The sequence below is a fragment of the Homo sapiens genome, chromosome 13, assembly GCF_000001405.40.
Source record: "Homo sapiens chromosome 13, GRCh38.p14 Primary Assembly".
NCBI lineage: Eukaryota > Metazoa > Chordata > Mammalia > Primates > Hominidae > Homo > Homo sapiens.
In genome coordinates, this window is record NC_000013.11 from 80,693,685 (window position 1) to 80,712,716 (window position 19,032).

Genomic DNA, 19,032 nt, shown 5'->3' on the forward strand with positions numbered 1-19,032 from the left:
GCACAAGACAAGGTTGCCCTCTCTCACCACTCCTAGTCAACATACTATTGGAAGTTCTGGCCAGGGAAATCAGGCAAGAGAAAGAAATAAACGGTATTGAAATAAGAAGAGAGGAAGTCAAATTATCTCTGTTTGCAGATGATATGATTATATATTTAGAAAACCCCATTGTCTCAGCCCCAAATCTCCTTAAGCTGATAAGCAACTTTAGCATAAAGTCTCATGATACAAAATCAATGTGCAAAAATCACAAGCATTCCTGTACACCAATAATAGACAGAGAGTCAAATCATGAGCAAACTCCCATTCACAATTACTACAAAGGGAATAAAATACCTAGGAATATAACTTACAAGGGATGTGAAGGACCCCTTCAAGGAGAACTACAACCACTGCTCAAGGAAATAAGAGAGGACACAAACAAATGGAAAAACATTCCATACTCATGGACAGGAAGAATCAATATCATGAAAATGGCCATACTGCCCAAAGTAATGTATAGATTCAATGCTATTCCCATCAAACTACCATTGACTTTCTTCACAGAATTGTAAAAAAAAACTTTAAATTTCATATGGAACCAAAAAAGAGCCCATATAGCCAAGAAAATCCTAAGCAAAATAGAACAAACCTGGAGACATCACATTATCTGACTTCAAACTGTACTGAAAGGCTATAGTAACCAAAACAGCATAGTACTGATACCCAAACAGATATATAGACCAATGGAACAGAACAGAGGCCTCAGAAATAACACCACACATCTACAACCATCTGATCTTTGACAAATCTGACAAAAACAAGAGATGGGGAAAGGATTCCCTATTTAATAAATGTTGTTGGGAAAACTGGCTAGCCATATGCAGAAAACTGAAACTGGACCCCTTCCTTACACCTTATACAGAAATTAACTCAAGCTGGGTTAAAAATTTAAACGTAAGACCTAAATCCATAAAAACCCTAGAAGAAAACCAGGCAATACTATGTAGGACATAGGCATGAGCAAAGACTTCATGACTAAAATACCAAAAGCAATGGCAACAAAAGCCAAAATTGACAAATGGGATCTAATTAAACTAAAGAGCTTCTGTACAGGAAAAGAAACTATCATCAGAATGAATAGGCATAGAGAACGGGAGACAATTTTTGCAATCTATGCATCTGACAAAGGGCTAATATCCAGAATCTACAAGGAACTTAAACAAATTTATGAGAAAAAAACAACTCAATCAAAAAGTGGGTGAAGGACATGAACAGACACTTCTCAAAGGAAGACATTTAGGCAGCCAACAAACATATGAAAAAGAGCTCATCACTGGTCATTAGAGAAATGCAAATCAAAACCACAATGAGATACCATCTCATGCCAGTTATAATAGCAGTCATTAACAAGTCAGGAAATAACAGATGCTGGAGAGGATGTGGAGAAATAGGAACGCTTTTGCACTGATGGTGGGAATGTAAATTCATTCAACCATTGTGGAAAACAGTATAGCAATTCCTCAAGAATCTATAATCAGAAATACCATTTGATCCGGCAATCCCATTACTGGGTATATACCCAAAGGATTATAAATCATTCTACTATAAAGACACATGCACACGTATGTTTATTCCAGCACTATTCACAATAGCAAAGACTTGGAACCAACCCAAATGCCCATCAATATAGACTGGATAAAGAAAATTTGGCACATATACACCATGGAATACTATGAAGCCATAAAAAAATGAGTTCATGTCCTTTGCAGGGACATGGATGAAGCTGGAAACCATCATTCTCAGCAAACTAACCCAGGAACAGAAAACCAAACACCGCATGTTTTCACTCATAAGTTGGAGTTGTACTATGAGAACATACGGGCACAGGGAGGGGAACATCACACACCAGAGCCTGTCGGTGGGTGGAGGGGCAAGGGAGGGATAGCATTAGGAGAAATACCTAATGTAGATGACAGGTTGATAGGTGTAGCATACCACCATGGCACGTGTATACCTATGTAACAAACCTGCACATTCTGCACATGTATCCCAGAACTTAAAGTATAATTAAAATAAAAAATAAACCCTGATATGCTACTTTTTGTCAGAATAATGCTAATAATACACAGGAAATACCTTAGTTATTTCTAAGCAGCAGACCCTGAGGCAAGTATAAAGGTAAGGATTTGATTTATTTAGAGGATGCAATTCAAGAGCAGTTAAGGGAAGCAAGGAAAGATGAAAAAGAATGGAATGCATTGCATTACTGTGCTGGTAACTGCTCCTCAATCTACTGCAGAGGCATAGAAAGTCCCTCAACAGACCTGTGGTATGCAGGAATTCACCAAAGTTTATGGAAGAGTAGTTAACAGAAGGGAAAAATGGGGAGGTATTTATCTGCTTTACTGTCTGTCATAAGAAGTTTCCTATTGTTTCATTCTCACCCCATAGGGACAAACTCCCCTTCACTTTACAGGCTGCCTAGTCCACTCACATGGAGGCTACTTGTGAAGCCAGATAACGCACACAGATATGCTGAATTCTTGGAGTCTGGCAGCAAAGGAGGAGTTTGCTATTTCTGAGGAGCTAATCCATGAGGAGAAAGGAGACAGTTAACAGCACCTAAGAGAGTAAGAAAACCCAAAAGGTTTTTATTCTTTATGTTTGATTGCAGTACATACAAAGAGTTTAGCTTATTAGCTTTTCAATGATTACCTAATATTAGCAAATCACTCATAGTAATTCATTTCAGGAACAAATTAGAATAAAGCAATGCATCTATATCTCTTGAAACAACAACAACAAAAAGAATTTGGAAAAACTTGGTAGCCTTTCTGCATTTTAAACAAAAGTCTATATAAAGAAAAATATAACAAAAGTATATAAACATTATGTTAAAACTACTACAAACCTATAGTAATTAACTTAATAAATATTAATGGTATAAAGCAGGCTGTACAAATTGAATTGTTTTTGAAGTTATATCTAACAATAATACAAGAAAATGAAGTAATATAAATCAGATATAAGGATTATTTTAAATTTTGTATATTGTTACATACCTATAAAAATCTCTTAGAAATATTTTGAAGTTTATATGAAGAAAAGCTATTACTCATATTTAAAATTTATAAGACATTATATATCATAGCAGAATACATAATAAATATGTAGAAACCAATAACTTTCCTCAATGATAGTAATAATCAGTTAGCAATAAAAAAGAAAAAATAAAATTTAGACCACCACATTAAGGGCTAGCAGTTTATAGAGTAAGATGCTGTTCAGTGTGTTCAAGGCACAGGGACAAAAGTAACTATAATCAAAAGAATAACATTTTTCACCAATCTGCTAAGATGAAAATTGTTGCATTTATTTAGATTTTGTTTACAGTGTTGCACCTAAACAACTTCTTCATGAGGGTGAATGTACCTATCGAACCTTTTTGGTTTTTTTTTTTTATAGCATTAAGTGTATTAACATCATTTTAAACAGGTGAACACAAGTATAGTGCTTTTTGTTGACCTATACTAACACATGAATACTGCAGAGCAATCCTAGGGTAGGATGGGGGAAAGGAAATAGAGAAATGCCTTCACTGCTCTCTGTGAAAAATGAATGTCTTCAACGTGATATGTTTTGCTAATTTTTTAAATTTTATAGGCCAGAAGAAAAGCTTAGATATTTTCATAATATTTGTTATTGACCAAGTAGGGATTCAAGTAGTTAGGATAGTAGCCATAATACCAATTAATTGATAAAGCCAATAAATTAATACTGCTAAAATTCTTCTTTTAGAGTTTGTTTAGGCATTCCTAATTTCCACTTCTACCCTCTCAAATATCTGGATGTTTTCACATTCTTAAATAAGGAGCCAGTAGAAAACCAGAAGCTTGCACCATTGAGTATAGAAAAAAGAGTATTAAGAAATGAAAAAAATTAAAAGCACATATTAAAAGGGTCACAGCATAATCCCTAGAAGTGTTTAATTTTGAGCACAACTGTACCCTGAAGACCCCAGGAAATGATACGCTTTTTCCCACCAGCAACACAGTCACTTGAGTATTTCTTTCACACCTCCATTAGAAAAAAAGACAGGGCATACCGCTTAATATTGTTGTTATCTAAACCACACGTGGTAGTTTATATTTTGCACAGAAAACCCAAATAATAAGTCAAATTTATTTTTACAAAAGTAATTTATTTGTTCTACGAATAAAAGTAACTGTTGATCATTTGTGCCAATCACCATGCTAAGCATTTAAACAAAATTATCTCATTTTTACTCTCCCAGTGACCCAAGATGTTATTGTCCAATTTTACAGATGAGAATAGTAAATATATGGGGCTTATGGAAGTTGGCTAAGTGTATACACAGCTAGGAAGTGGTGGAAATACGATTCAATTTAGATTTAACTCCAAAGTTTTAAGTTCTAAACTGCAATGCAATACTGCCTTTTCCATAGAAGACTTTTGATTCTAGAGAATTTAAGTCAACTCATTTGTTTACATAGTCAAAAATTAAAATTCCAGATATACTGAAATTTTTAGTATTGATGGAAATTCACTGTATAGTAGATTGATCACCCTGCCAGAAATAGTTCAAAAAGCTGACTATTTCTATTAGCTTCTAAAACTGAAGAGAGGTCCATTCTTTGTAAGACCCTTTTTTTAAAAAAAAGAAAAAAAATCACAATTTTAGGGCCATTCTATTAGTGATGGTTAATTAAGAATAAAACTAAATTCTCAGTTACATAGAAATAGTAAATCCTGATATTTTCTCTACTGAAAGAGTGCAAAAAACAAAGCAGCCCATTTCTTCAGTGTCATTTAAATTGAATTTCTATGATAACTTTGGAGTGAAAGTGGAGCTCATATGTTAATATTTGGCCCTATGTAAATTAGACTATAAATTTAGTAAGTAAATTATTCACTTTTCACCATAGTTATATTTGTTATGAAAGAAAAATAATAGCGGATAACTTTTTTAAAAAACACTTTTCTTGATTTTTATTATCTCTTGGACACTACCATACTCAGGACAGCATTTATCTTCCTGCACACTAGAAAACTCATAGCCAAAGGGATGAGAGAAAAGTCACTTATAGCCCTCAAGCTGAAATAGCTTCAGGCTGATATGATGTCATTAATACACCTCAGAATATCTGATTTTTAAAGTAATTCTACCATGCCTTGTATATTGTGACTATACTTAAGAAATTGGGACAGCTCCAAAATCAAACTTCTTGATAAGATGTATAAATCAAGAATAATAGTTATTACTTCTTTGAAAAACTCTTACAATAAAAAAAAGATTATATTTTTGGCACAAATTTAGCTAATAAAGCATCGTTATTCATTTAGTCAACTCATGGGTTTTTTGCCCCATTGTATATTGCATTGCATTATATTTAATTAGGGGTCAAATCTTGATTTTGTGATTGTTATTTTTCATGAAATAAGTAGATTATATTAGTTGTTTTTAGTGTAAATAACACATTAATAAAAGATGATGTAATTATAGAGCTATGACATTTTCTTTTTTTTCTTTTTTTTATTATTATACTTTAAGTTCTAAGGTACATGTGCATAACGTTCAGATTTGTTACATATGTATACATGTGCCATGTTGGTGTGCTGCACACATTAACTTGTCATTTACATTAGGTATATCTCCTAATGCTATCCCTCCCCCCTCCCCCCTCCCCCCACCCAACAACAGGCCCATTGTGCGATTTTCCCCTTCCTGTGTCCAAGTGTTCTCATTGTTCAATTCCCACCTATGTGTGAGAACATGCACTGTTTGGTTTTTTGTCCTTGCGATATTTTGCTAAGAGTGATGGTTTCCAGCTTCATCCATGTCCCTACAAAGGACATGAACTCATCATTTTTTATGGCTGCATAGTATTCCATGGTGTACATATGCCACATTTTCTTAATCCAGTCCATCATTGTTGGACATTTGGGTTGATTCCAGGTCTTTGCTGTTGTGACTAGTGCTGCAATAAACATACGTGTGCATGTGTCTTTATAGCAGCATGATTTATAATCCTTTGGCTATATACCCAGTAATGGGATGGCTGGGTCAAATGGTATTTCTAGTTCTAGATTCCTGAGGAATCGCCACACTGACTTCCACAATGGTTAAACCAGTTTACAGTTCCACCAACAGTGTAAAAGTGTTCCTGTTTCCCCACATCCTCTCCAGCACCTGTTGTTTCCTGACTTTTTAATGATTGCCATTCTAACTGGTGTGAGATGGTATCTCATTGTGGTTTTGATTTGCATTTCTCTGATGGCCAGTGATGATGAGCATTTTTTCATGTGTCTTTGGCTGCATAAACGTCTTCTTTTGAGAAGTGTCTGTTCATATCCTTCGCCTACTTGTTGAAGGGGTTGTTTGTTTTTTTCTTGTGAATTTGAGTGCTTTGTAGATTATGGATATTAGCCCTTTGTCAGATGAGTAGATTGCAAAAATTTTCTCCCATTCTGTAGGTTGCCTGTTCACTCTGATGGTAGTTTCTTTTGCTGTGCAGAAGCTCTTTAGTTTAATTAGATCCCATTTGTCAACTTTGGCTTTTGTTGCCATTGCTTTTGGTGTGTTAGACATGAAGTCCTTGCCCATCCCTGTGTCCTGAATGGTATTGCCTAGATTTTCTTCTAGGGTTTTTATGGTTGTAAGTCTAACATTTAAGTCTTTAATCCATCTTGAATTAATTTTTGTATAAGATATAAGGAAGGGATCCAGTTTCAGCTTTCTACATGTGGCTAGCCAGTTTTCCTAGCACCATTTATTAAGTAGGGAATTCTTTCCCCATCTCTTGTTTTTCTCAGGTTTGTCAAAGACCAGATAGTTGTAGATGTGTGGTATTATTTCTTAGGGCTTTGTTCTGTTCCGTTGGTCTATATCTCTGTTTTGGTCCCAGTACCATGCTGTTTTGGTTACTGTAGCCTTGTAGTATAGTTTGAAGTCAGGTAGCGTGATGCCTCCAGCTTTGTTCTTTTGGCTTAGGATTTACTTGGCAGTGCAGGCTCTTTCTTGGTTCCATATGAACTTTAAAGTAGTTTTTCCCAATTCTGTGAAGAAAGTCATTGGTAGCTTGATGGGGATGGCATTGAGTCTATAAATTACCTTGGGCAGTATAGCCATTTTCATGATATTGATTCTTCCTATCCATGAGCATGGAATTTTCTTCCATTTGTTTGTATCCTCTTTTATTTTGTTGAGCAGTGGTTTGTAGTTCTCCTTGAAGAGGTCCTTCACATCCCTCGTAAGTTGGATTCCTAGGTATTTTATTCTCTTTGAAGCAATTGTGAATGGGAATTCACTCATGATTTGGCTCTCTGTTTGTCTGTTATTAGTGTATAAAAATGCTTGTGATTTTTGCACATTGATTTTGTATCCTGAGACTTTGCTGAAGTTGCTTATCAGCTTAAGGAGATTTTGGGCTGAGATGATGGGGTTTTCTAGATATACAGCAGTCATGTCATCTGCAAACAGGGACAATTTGACTTCCTCTTTTCCTAATTGAATACCCTTTATTTCTTTCTCCTGCCTGATTGCCCTGGCCAGAACTTCCAACACTATGTTGAATAGGAGCGATGAGAGAGGGCATCCCTGTCTGGTGCCAGTTTTCAAAGGGAATGCTTCCAGTTTTTGCCCATTCAGTATGACATTGGCTGTGGGTTTGTCATCAATAGCTCTTATTATTTTGAGATACGTCCCATCAATACCTAATTTATTGAGAGTTTTTAGCATGAAGGTTGTTGAATTTTGTCAAAGGCCTTTTCTGCATCTGTTGAGATAATCATGTGGTTTTTGTTGTAGGTTCTGTTTATATGCTGGATTACGTTTATTGATTTGTGTATGTTGAGCCAGCCTTGCATCCCAGGGATGAAGCCCACATGATCATGGTGGATAAGCTTTTTGATGTGTTGCTGGATTCGGTTTGCCAGTATTTTATTTAGGATTTTTGCATCGATGTTTATCAGGGATATTGGTCTAAAATTCTCTTTTTTTGTTGTGTCTCTGCCAGGCTGTGGTATTAGGATGATGCTGGCCTCATAAAATCAGTTAGGGAGGATTCCCTCTTTTTCTATTAATTGGAATAGTTTCATAAGGAATGTACCAGCTCCTCCTTGTACCTCTGGTAGAATTCGGCTGTGAATCCGTCTGGTCCTACACTTTTTTTGGTTGGTAGGCTATTAATTATTGCCTCAATTACAGAGCCTTTTATTGGTCTATTCAGGGATTCAACTTCTTCCTGGTTTAGTCTTGGGAGAGTGTATGTGTCCAGGAATTTATCCATTTCTTCTAGATTTTCTATTTGCATAGAGGTGTTTATAGTATTCTCTGATGGTAGTTTGTATTTCTGTGGGATCAGTGGTGATATCACCTTTATCATTTTTTATTGTGTCTATTTGATTCTTCTCTCTTTTCTTCTTTGTTAGTCTATCAATTTTGTTGTTCTTTTCAAAAAACCAGCTCCTGGATTCATTGATTTTTTGAAGGGTTTTTTGTGTCTCTATCTCCTTCAGTTCTACTCTGATCTTAGTTGTTTCTTGCCTTCTGCTAGCTTTTGAATGTGTTTGCTCTTGCTTCTCTAAATTGTGATGTTAGGGTGTGAATTTTAGATCTTTCTTGCCTTCTCTTGTGGGCATTTAGTGCTATAAAATTCCCTCTACACACTGCTTTAAATGAGTCCTAGAGATTCTGGTATGTTGTGTCTTTGTTCTTGTTGGTTTCAAAGAACATCTTTATTTCTGCCTTCATTTCATTATGTACCCAGTAGTCATTCAGGAGCAGGTTGCTTGGTTTACATGTAGTTGAATGGTTCTGAGTGAGTTTCTTAATCCTGAGTTCTAGTTTGATTGCACTGTGGTCTGAGAGACAGTTCGTTATAATTTCTCTTCTTTTACATTTGCTGAGGAGTGCTTTACTTCCAACTATGTAGTCAATTTTGGGGTAAGTGTGGTGTGGTGCTGAAAAGAATGTATATTCTGTTGATTTGGGGTGGAGAGTTCTGTAGATGTCTATTAGGTCTGCTTGATGCAGAGCTGAGTTCAATTCCTGGAAATCCTTGTTAACTTTCTGTCTCGTTGATCTGTCTAATGTTGACAGTGGGGTGTTAAAGTCTCCCATTATTATTGTGTGGGAGTCTAAGTCTCTTCGTAGGTCTCTAAGGACTTGCTTTATGAATCTGGGTGCTCCTGTATTGGATGCATATATATTTAACATAGTTAGTTCTTCTTCTGGAATTGATCCCTTTACCATTACATAATGGTCTTTGTCTCTTTTGATCTTTGTTGGTTTAAAGTCTGTTTTATCAGAGACTAGGATTGCAACCCCTGCCTTTTTTTGTTTTCCATTTGCTTGGTAGATCTTCCTCCAACCATTTATTTTGAGCCTGTGTGTGTCTCTGCATGTAAGATGGGTTTCCTGAATACAGCACACTGATGGGTCTTGACTCTTTATCCAATTTGCCAGTCTGTGTCTTTTAATTGGAGCATTTAGCTCATTTACATTTAAGGTTAATATTGTTATATGTGAATTTGATCCTGTCATTATGATGTTAGCTGGTTATTTTGCTCGTCAGTTGATGCAGTTTCTTCCTAGCCTTGACGGTCTTTACAATTTGGCATGTTTTTGCAGTGGCTGGTACCGGTTGTTCCTTTCCATGTTTAGTGCTTCCTTCAGGAGCTCTTGTAGGGCAGGCCTGGTGGTGACAAAATCGCTCAGCATTTGCTTGTCTGTAAAGTATTTTATTTCTCCTTCACTTATGAAGCTTAGTTTGGCTGGATATGAAATTCTGGGTTGAAAATTCTTTTTTTAAGAATGTTGAATATTGGCCCCCACTCTCTTCTGGCTTGTGGAGTTTCTGCTGAGAGATCAGCTGTTAGTCTGATGGTCTTCCCTTTGTGGGTAACCCGACGTTTCTCTCTGGCTGACCTTAATATTTTTTCCTTCATTTCAACTTTGGTGAATCTGACAATTATGTGTCTTGGAGTTACTCTTCTTGAGGAGTATCTTGGTGGTGGTCTCTGTATTTTCTGAATTTGAATGTTGGCCTGCCTTGCTAGCTTGGGTAAGTTCTCCTGGATAATATACCACAGAGTGTTTTCCAACGTGGTTCCATTCTCCCCGTTACTATCAGGTTCACCAATCAGATGTAGATTTGGTCTTTTCACATAGTCCCATATTTCCTGGAATCTCTGTTCATTTCTTTTTATACTTTTTTCTCTGAAACTCTCTTTTCGCTTCAATTTATTCGTTTGACTTTCCATCCCTGAAACCCTTTCTTTCACTTGATCGAATCAGCTACTGAAGCTTCTGCATGCGTCACGTAGTTCTCATGCCATGGTTTTCAGCTCTATCAGGTCCTTTAAGGACTCCTTTGCATTGGTTATTCTAGTTAGCCATTCATCTAATCTTTTTTCAAGGTTTTTAACTTCTTTGAGTTGGGTTCAAACTTCCTCCTTTAGCGCGGAGAAGTTTGATCATCTATAGCCTTCTTCTCTCAACTCGTCAAAGTCATTGTCCGTCCAGCTTTGTTCCGTTGATGGTGAGGAGCTGCATTCCTTTGGAGGAGGAGAGGCGCACTGATTTTTAGAATTTTTAGTTTTTCTGCTCTGTTTTTTCCACATCTTTGTGGTTTTATCTACGGGGGGGGGGTCCCCTGTAGGGGGGGATACCCATCGCAGGGAGTGCAGGCACCCCCCGCGAGGCAGGGATTGAGAGCCAGCCCCTCTTCCCCCCCGGCTCTTAGGACCCCCCTCGCACTGGGGGTAGGCATCTCCCGCGAGGTGGGGACTGAGAGCCAGCCCCTCTTCCCCCCCTGGCTCTTGGGACCCCCATCGTAGGGTGGGAGGCACCGCCCGCAAGGCGGGAACTGAGTGCCAGCCGGTCTCCCCACCCCCGGCTCTTGGGACCCCCATCACAGGAGCGGGAGGCACCCCCCGTGAGGGTGGGGACTGAGAGCCAGCCCCTCCTCTGCCAATGACTGTTAGGAAACCCATCGCAGGGTGGGGAAGCACCCCCTGTGAGGCGGGAACTGAGAGCCCGCCCCTCTTCCCCCCTAGCGTAGGACCCCCATCGCGGATCCTAAGATCTTTAGGACCCACCTGGAGGACTGTGGGTATTAGGTGTCCAAGAAGAAAGCTCAAATCTGTCAACGGCAGGTACCTTACTAGGGATTTACTCTCCCACAGGGTTCCGAAGGCAGCCCGGGAACAGAAAGAAAGCAGGTTATTTGCAATCTACCGGAGCCTAAGGGCATAAGGCAGGTGAGAGAATTCTTAGGAGCTGTGGGGTTTTGTAGACTGTGGATCCCAAACTTTGCAGTGTTAGCCAAGACTTTGTATGAGGTCACAAAGAGGGCAGGGACCGGGAACCTTTGGAATGGGGATCCCAACAACAGCAAGTCTGTCATGAGTTAAAGGAAAAACTTCTGGCAGCCCCAGCCCTGGGGCTACCCGATCTGACAAAGCCTTTTCCATTGTATGCGTCAGAGAGAGAAAAGATGGCAGCTGGACTTTTAACCGAAACTGTGGGGCCCTATCTGAGGCCGGTGGCCTACGTCTCTAAACAACTAGACAGGGTTTCTAAAGGATGGCCCCTTTGTTTGAGGGCCGTGGCAGCAACTGCCCTGCTAGTAAAAGAAGCAAATAAGCTGATTCTTGGGCAAAACCTGAACATAAAGGCCCCCCCATTTTGTGGTGGCTGAGATCCAGCCCCTCTTCCACCCCTGGCTCTTGGGACCCCCATCACAGTGTGGAGAGGCACCCCCCACGAGGCGGGGACTGAGAGCCAGCTCCTCTTCCTCCACTGGCACTTGCGACCCCCATCACAGCGTGGGGGAGGCAACCCCACTAGGCGGGTACTGAGAGCCAGCTCTTCTTGCCCCCTGGCTCTTGGGACCCTCATTGCAAGGGTGGGAGGCAACCCATGCGAGGTGGGGAGTGCGAGCCTGCCCCACTTCTCCCCGGCTCTTAGCACCCCCATCGCAGGGGGGGAGGCAATCCCTGCAAGGTGGGGACTGCGAGCCTGCCCCCTTCCCTCCCTGGCTCTTAGCACCCCTTTCGCAGGGGGGGAGGCACCCCTCGCGAGGCGGGGATGGAGAGCGAGCCCCTCTTCCCCCCCTTGCTCTTAGGACCCGCATCGCTGGGGGCGGAGGCACCCACTGCGAGGCAGGGACTGAGAGCCAGCCCCTCTTACCCCCCTGGCTCTTGGGACCCCCATCGTGGGGGGGAGGCACCCCCCGTGAGGCGGGGACTCAGAGCCAACCCCTCTTCCCCCCCGGCTCTTGGGACCCCCATCGCAGTGGGGGGAGGCACCCCCAGCGAGGTGGGGACTAAGAGCCAGCCCCTCTTCCCCCCCGACTCTTAGGATCCCCATCACACCGGGGGGAGGCACCCCCCATGAGGTAGGGACTGAGAGCAGGGGGGGATGCAACCCCCACGACGCGGGGACTGAGAGCCAGTCCCTCTTCCCCCCCTGGCTCTTAGGATCCCCATCGCACCAGGGGGAGCCACCCCCCGCGAGGCAGGGACTGAGAGCCAGCCACTTTTCCCCCCTTGACTCTTAGGACCCCCATCGCACTGGGGGGAGGCACCCCCGCGAGGCAGGGACTCAGCCAGCCCCTCTTCCCCCCCCAGGCTCTTGGGACCCCCATCGCAGTGGGGGAGGCACCCCCGCAAGGTGGGGACTGAGAGCCAGCCCGTCTTCCCCCCTGGCTTAGGACCCCCATCGTGGATCCTAAGATCCTTAGGACCCACCTGGAGGACTGTGGGTATCAGGTGTCCAAGAAGAAAGCTCAAATCTGCCGATGGCAGGTACCTTACTTGGGATTTCCTATCCGACAGGGGTCCGAACGCAGCTGGGGAACAGAAAGAAAGCAGGTTATTTGCAATCTACCGGAGCTTAAGAGCAGAAGGCAGGTTAGAGAATTCTTAGGAGCTGTGGGGTTTTGTAGCCTGTGGATCCCAAACTTTGCATTACTAGCCAAGCCTTTGTATGAGGTCACAAAGGGGGCAGGGACCGGGAACCTTTGGAATGGGGATCCCAACAACAGCCAGTCTTTCATGAGTTAAAGGAAAAACTTCTGGCCGCCCCAGCCCTGGGGCTACCCGATCTGACAAAGTCTTTGCCATTGAATGCGTCAGAGAGAGAAAAGATGGCAGTTGGACTTTTAACCCAAACTGTGGGGCCCTGTCTGAGGCCGGTGGTCTACGTCTCTAAACAACTACCCAAGGTTTCTAAAGGATGGCCCCCCTGTTTGAGGGCTGTGGTAGCAACTGCCCCGCTAGTACAAGAAGCAAATAAGCTGACTCTTGGGCAAAACCTGAACATAAAGTCCACCCATTTTGTGGTAGCTGAGAGCCAGCCCCTCTTCCCCCACTGCCTCTTAGGATCCCCATCGCAGCGTGGTGAGGCACCCTCCGTGAGGCGGGGACTGAGAGCCAGCCCCTTTTCCCCCCCTGGCTCTTAGGACCCCCATCGCACCGGGCGGAGGCTCCCCCGCGAGGCAGGGACTGAGAGCCAGCCCCTCTTCCCCCCCAGGCTGTTGGGACCCCCATCGCAGGTGCAGGAGGCACCCCCCGTGAGGTGTGGACTGAGAGCCAGCACCTCTTCCACCCCTGGCTTTTAGGACCCCCATCGCAGGTGGGGGAGGCACCCTCCACGGTGCAGCAATTGAGAACCAGCCACTCTTCCCCCACTGGCTCTTAGGACCCCCAACGCGGGGGGGGGGAGGCACCCCCTGCGAGGCGGGGACTGAGAGCCAGCCCCTCTTCCCCCCCTGGCTCTTGGGACCCCCATAGCAGAGGGGGGAGGCACCTCCCGCGAGGCCGGGACTGAGAGGCAGCCACTCTCCCCCCCTGGCTCTTGGGACCCCCATTGAAGGGTGGGGAGGCACCGCCCTCTAGGCGGGAACTGAGACCCAGCCCGTCTTTCCACCCTGGCTCTTAGGACCCCCATTGCAGGAACGGGAGGCAACCCCCGCTAGAGTGGGGACTGAAAGCCAGCCCGTCTTCCGCCCCTGGCTCTTAGGACCCCCATCAGAGTGGGGGGAGGCACCCCCCTCCGAGGCGGGGACTGAGAACCTGCCCCTCTTCCCCCCTGGCTCTTAGGACCCCCATTGCAGGGTGGGGATGCACCCCCCGCGAGGCGGGTACTGAGAGCCAGCCCCTCTTCTCCCCTGGCCTTGTGAGGTGTCATTCTGCCCCTACTGGGGGGTTCCTCCCAGTTAGCCTACTCGGAGTTCAAGGACCCAGTTGAGGAGGCAGTCTGTTGATGCTCAGATCTCAAGCTGCGTGCTGGGAGAACCACCACTCTCTTCCAGCTGTCATACAGGGACTTTTAAGTCTGCAGAGGTTTCTGCTGCCTTTTGTTCGGCTATGCCCTACCCCAAGAGGTGGACTCTACAGAGGCAGGCAGGCCTTCTTGAGCTGCAGTGGGCTTCACCCAGTTCAAGCTTAGCAGCCGCTTTGTTTACCTATTCAAGCCTCAGCAATGGCAGATGCTCCTCCCCCAGTCTCGCTGCCATGTTTCAGTTTGATCTCAGATTGCTGTGCTAGCAATCAGCAAGGCTCCGTGGGCATAGGACCCTCCGAGCCAGGCACAGGATATAATCTCCTGGTCTGCCGTTTGCTAAGACTGTCAGAAAAGCACAGTATTAGGGTGGGAGTGACCCGATTTTCCAGGTGCTGTTTTTCCTCCCTTCCCTTGGCTAGGAAAGGGAATTCCCTGACCCCTTGCACTTCCCGGGTGAGGCGATGCCTTGCCCTGCTTCGGCTCATGCTCCGTGTGCTGCACCCACTGTCCTGCACCCACTGTCCAACAATCCCCAGTGAGATGAACCTGGTACCTCAGTTGGAAAGGGAGCTGTAGACTGGAGCTGTTCCTATTCGGCCATCTTGCGCCCTAGAGCTATGACATTTTCAAGCTACTTTTTCAATTCAATATATTTTATTCCTCTCTGAATCTATTACATTTGAAGTCATTTAAATAATTCTATGCTTTTTTCTTGTCTATTTCTTCATTGCAGTATCTGACAAATGATAATAACCAAATTAAAACCACTTGTGTTTCCAAGCATAAATTATATGAATGTATAATTATGAAATGAACTTATTCTTCAGTTTCATATTCATTGAACTGAAGGCTTCTACACTTTGTAATGCTTTTTTTTTTTTTACAAATCTTATTGTTACCAAATTTCCAGTTTCAAATTTATATGTTTAAGTTTTATTACTTAAGGTTTTGTTGCCTTTTCTCTCTGCAGCTGCAGTCTGAATTAATGTGTTAGTTCAGTCTTATAAATCCCAGATGAAAAGAATGGAATTTTTTTTTTTGTTATTTGCCTTATGCCAGTAGTTCTTAACCAGAGGAAATTTTCATGCAGGGGATGTTTGATAATGCCTGGAGACATCATTAATTGTTACTAAAGTTGAGGAGGGAGGGAAGAGTTGCTACTGACATGGTATAGGACTGGGAAGCTGCTAAACCTCCTACAATGCACAGAAGAATTTTCTGCATCAAAAAGTGATCTGATACAAATATCAATAGTTTCACTGTTGAGAAATCTTCTATATATAATATCCTTGATTTTTCATTCTAAAATTTAGTAAAATGATGAGTTAAATTTAATCATTTTTGTCATTATTAGCATGATGAGGGATGACATGAGCCTCAAAAGTCAAAGGACTCTTGCCTGGGAGTAGAAAATCAAAAGATGACAATAACACATGTGAAATAGTTTAAATTTCAATAAGTTGGAATTAAAACTTTCAGGTGTTGTTTAGAACAAAATCTTGGTTGTCTCAACACAACTGAAAGCTAAGTGCACTTAATTCCAATCGTTTGAATCCCATGGCCTGTGGAAAGATGAGAATGATTAGTGTCCACTTGACAGGCACCTGTGTTAAACAATATCTTAATGCTTTTTTAAAAAAGTGGAGATTTTTATTAAGGCAAGGAGGGAATGTGATTAAAGGGGTCGAGCATACAAATTAAAGGTATTTGAAATGAAAATAAGTTTGGGGAGAAAACAGTGAATATTGTTGAGAGAGAGGTCATCCTCTGTAGAAGGATAATAAGAACATATAGCTTATTTGGGGATGGTCTTTCTGTGCTGCTCATGGTGAGGGGTCAAGGACTAAAGAAGTTTAAATGTTTCATAACTCAATAATGTCATCAAGATACAGAAAATAAATTACTTGGATTGCGATTCCAGCTTTTAAAAATTAGCTGAATTTTTCTAATTGATTATTTCAGCTCAGAGTGGTGGATGACAGAAAGTGAAGGACATTTTGGCAAGTGGCTCGGCATGAAAGAGATAATGGGCATAGTTACATTAATTGTGACTGGAAACATGAAAGATTCAATGCAAAAGCAACTTGTTCCATAACATATTTCTCGCACAGGTTGGCTTCATGATTTTTGTACCTTGAGGCATGCAGAGCAGCTTGAGGGTGCTGGGAAGTTTAAGCTTTTTAGCTATCTTTAAAAAATGGTGACAGCTTTATGAGCTGGAGGAAAATGTTTATTGGGTAGAATTCTCCCTAAGTGGTTAAAGAGAATTTTAGACATTTATCTCTTCCTGGCATCATTCAAGCTTTTGATAACTGGGAATGGAGTAAGGGGAAAAGTCCAATTTTAGGAATTGAATCAGAGACAAGGAAGACAAGGGAACAGGGAGGGTTTCACCATAGGAAAGTTAGATTTGATAGCCCCACTCTAAGACAGGAAGAAGAAGAGTGCTTACATGTAGGAAAAGCACAGGATTTGTGATCACACATCTAGTCCTACATTCTGAACCAGATTATCCAATGAGGTGGATCAGCCCTGAAGCTCTTTCTCATACTGGTAGAATGTGACACTGGAATTAGCCTTCAAGTGGTGCTCCAGGTGTGGACTGAACCTTGAGGGGGCATAACATGGGATAGGGTGGTTAGAGAGGGACTGATATCTTTTGAATACCAATTAAGTGCTAGACACTATCCTAGGCGCTTTTGGCATGCTATTGGATCAATGAGATACATTTTTTTAAGCGATATTTTACTGATGATAAAACTGAGAAGCAGTAAATGGCATTATTTACATGTCTAGCTTTTGGAAAAGACTAAGAAACTCATCTCTGGGAAAATAAGGCAAAGACTGACAATGTGTACATTGTTTGAAGGTTTATTCAGCTTTAAAATGCTTCTGATAAGCCTGCTTTGTTTTTTTTTCCTTACCAGGAGGTTTACTCACATGGATTACTTCTTAGACTACTAATTATCCAGATAGTTGGTTCCTCTTTTTCTCTTTGTGCTTAATTATTAGTATTTCTCTAGAGCTCACTTGGCTTATGTTCTTTTGTTTCTCTCATAGGCATCACACTAATGTCTCCAAGTGGTCAGGTGATGTGTGGTTTGTGCTATCACCTTTAGAAAATGAATCTTAGCTCAACATTCTCCAAACTTTTAGATGTTTTTCAGGACAAAAATCTTTATTGTTTCAACACAATTGAAAGTGAAGCACGCTTAATTTTTCTGTTTAAATATTTATTCCAAAGTGAGTCAATCATATAATAAAAGTGTTTCTGCAGTCATTAAATAGTCATTTAGCAAACAAAAAAAGAAAAAAAGAAAACACATATTGCAGAGTAAGACATATTAAAGACATCAAATATTAAAAGGTGTGTTGTAAAATATTGCAGTTTCACAGTAAGCATAATATTTGTATATAGGTAGCCACTACTTAAGTCAGCTCAAGCTAAGGGATACATGGATGATCTTATTACATTTAAGTATATTCTTTTGATAAAACACTAAATATGTGATATATGCTTTATGTAAAATACATAACTATTTATTCAGACCAGAAAGAAACATGCAATAATTTTAATAATGTAAACACAAAATCTCAAAGAGGAGCTAACTATCTGGAGGAGTTTTAAATAACACTTATTATCTGTCTACCATATTTTGAAAACTGTTAGCATAATTGTTGCAGTAATACAATTGTATTACAAAGTTTACTGATTCATTTACTCTTGGGAAAACTATTCTAGGCACAAAGTTCTATATAGAATGGATTAACTTCATGTATTAGTCTTTTCAGGCTTCTATGACAAAAATAACATAGACTAGATAGTTAATAAACCGTGTAAATTTATTTCTCAAAGTTCCAGAGGCTGTAAATCTGAAATCAAGATGTTGGCAGATTTGAAGTCTGTTGAGGGCTGGCTTCAGAGATGGCCATTGTTCATTATAATCTCACATGGCAGGGGAGAGATCTCTCTGGACTCTCTTTAATAAAGGCACTAGTCCCATTTATGAGGGCTCTGCCATCCACATCTCAGATACCCCACCTCCTAGTACCATTACCTTGAGATCTGGATTTGAACAAAAGAATGTTGAGGAAACACAAATATCCAGTTTGTGGCTTGTTAGGATATTGTTTTTACCCGGTAAGGACAAGGCATATAGTATCTGAGATGGGCTGGGTTTTAGAGACTCTGTAGACAGGGCTGGAGACTGTGGTGAAGTAAAAGCACATGTCTGGCCAATGGTGGCATTAGTTACTCAATTCCTAATGACTCGCCATTTATGAATAGGGAAGCAATGTGACAGATCTCTGCTTTTTTCAGGCAAGATCATAGCTTGATTTTTTTAAATGTGAAATTTTCTTATTTTTAAAAGTTTGTTCTAATTAAAACTGTATCTATTTCCTATTTTCCTTTTTTATGTGAGAAATAAGTATAATATTTCTAAGATGTAAAATTTTATATCATCTTTCTTCTTGACAGAGATTATATGTTGTTTTGCAATTCATGATGTCTACACTCTTAATTTAAATTTATACTTTCCTGAAATCATAACCAGTATGCAGTTGTAGTGAAAAAATACTTAGATGTTTCTGGGCCAAAAAATATAATGTGTTAATACTGAATATAGTATGAAACCTATATTAGTCCATTTTCAAACTGCTATAAAGAACTACCTGAAACTGGATAATTTATAAAGAAAGGAAAATTAATTGACTTATAGTTCTGCATGGCTCAGGAG

The 19,032-nt window shown here is 41.3% G+C and overlaps 1 long non-coding RNA gene across 2 annotated transcripts, besides 2 other annotated features; it reads right to left on the reverse strand.

Moving 5' to 3' along the window:
- Positions 1-3,492: 3,492 nt before the first annotated feature.
- Positions 3,493-12,855, reverse strand: LOC105370278 (uncharacterized). Of its 2 annotated transcripts, none has more exons than XR_001749944.3 (3): positions 12,757-12,855; positions 11,104-11,248; positions 3,493-4,059 (listed from the first exon to the last, which is right to left on the reverse strand). It is a non-coding gene; the product is annotated as an uncharacterized LOC105370278 (long non-coding RNA). The 2 variants fall into 2 exon arrangements; XR_942121.4 differs by lacking the exon at positions 3,493-4,059 and adding an exon at positions 10,521-10,560.
- Positions 10,377-10,877: an enhancer, noted in NCBI's record as "H3K4me1 hESC enhancer chr13:81278196-81278696 (GRCh37/hg19 assembly coordinates)". NCBI's record gives its function as "activates a minimal SCP1, AML or CMV promoter by ChIP-STARR-seq in naive H9 embryonic stem cells {active_cell/tissue: H9 hESC(naive)}" and the evidence as "EXISTENCE:reporter gene assay evidence [ECO:0000049][PMID:30033119]".
- Positions 10,878-11,378: an enhancer, noted in NCBI's record as "H3K4me1 hESC enhancer chr13:81278697-81279197 (GRCh37/hg19 assembly coordinates)". NCBI's record gives its function as "activates a minimal SCP1, AML or CMV promoter by ChIP-STARR-seq in naive H9 embryonic stem cells {active_cell/tissue: H9 hESC(naive)}" and the evidence as "EXISTENCE:reporter gene assay evidence [ECO:0000049][PMID:30033119]".
- Positions 12,856-19,032: the final 6,177 nt, after the last annotated feature.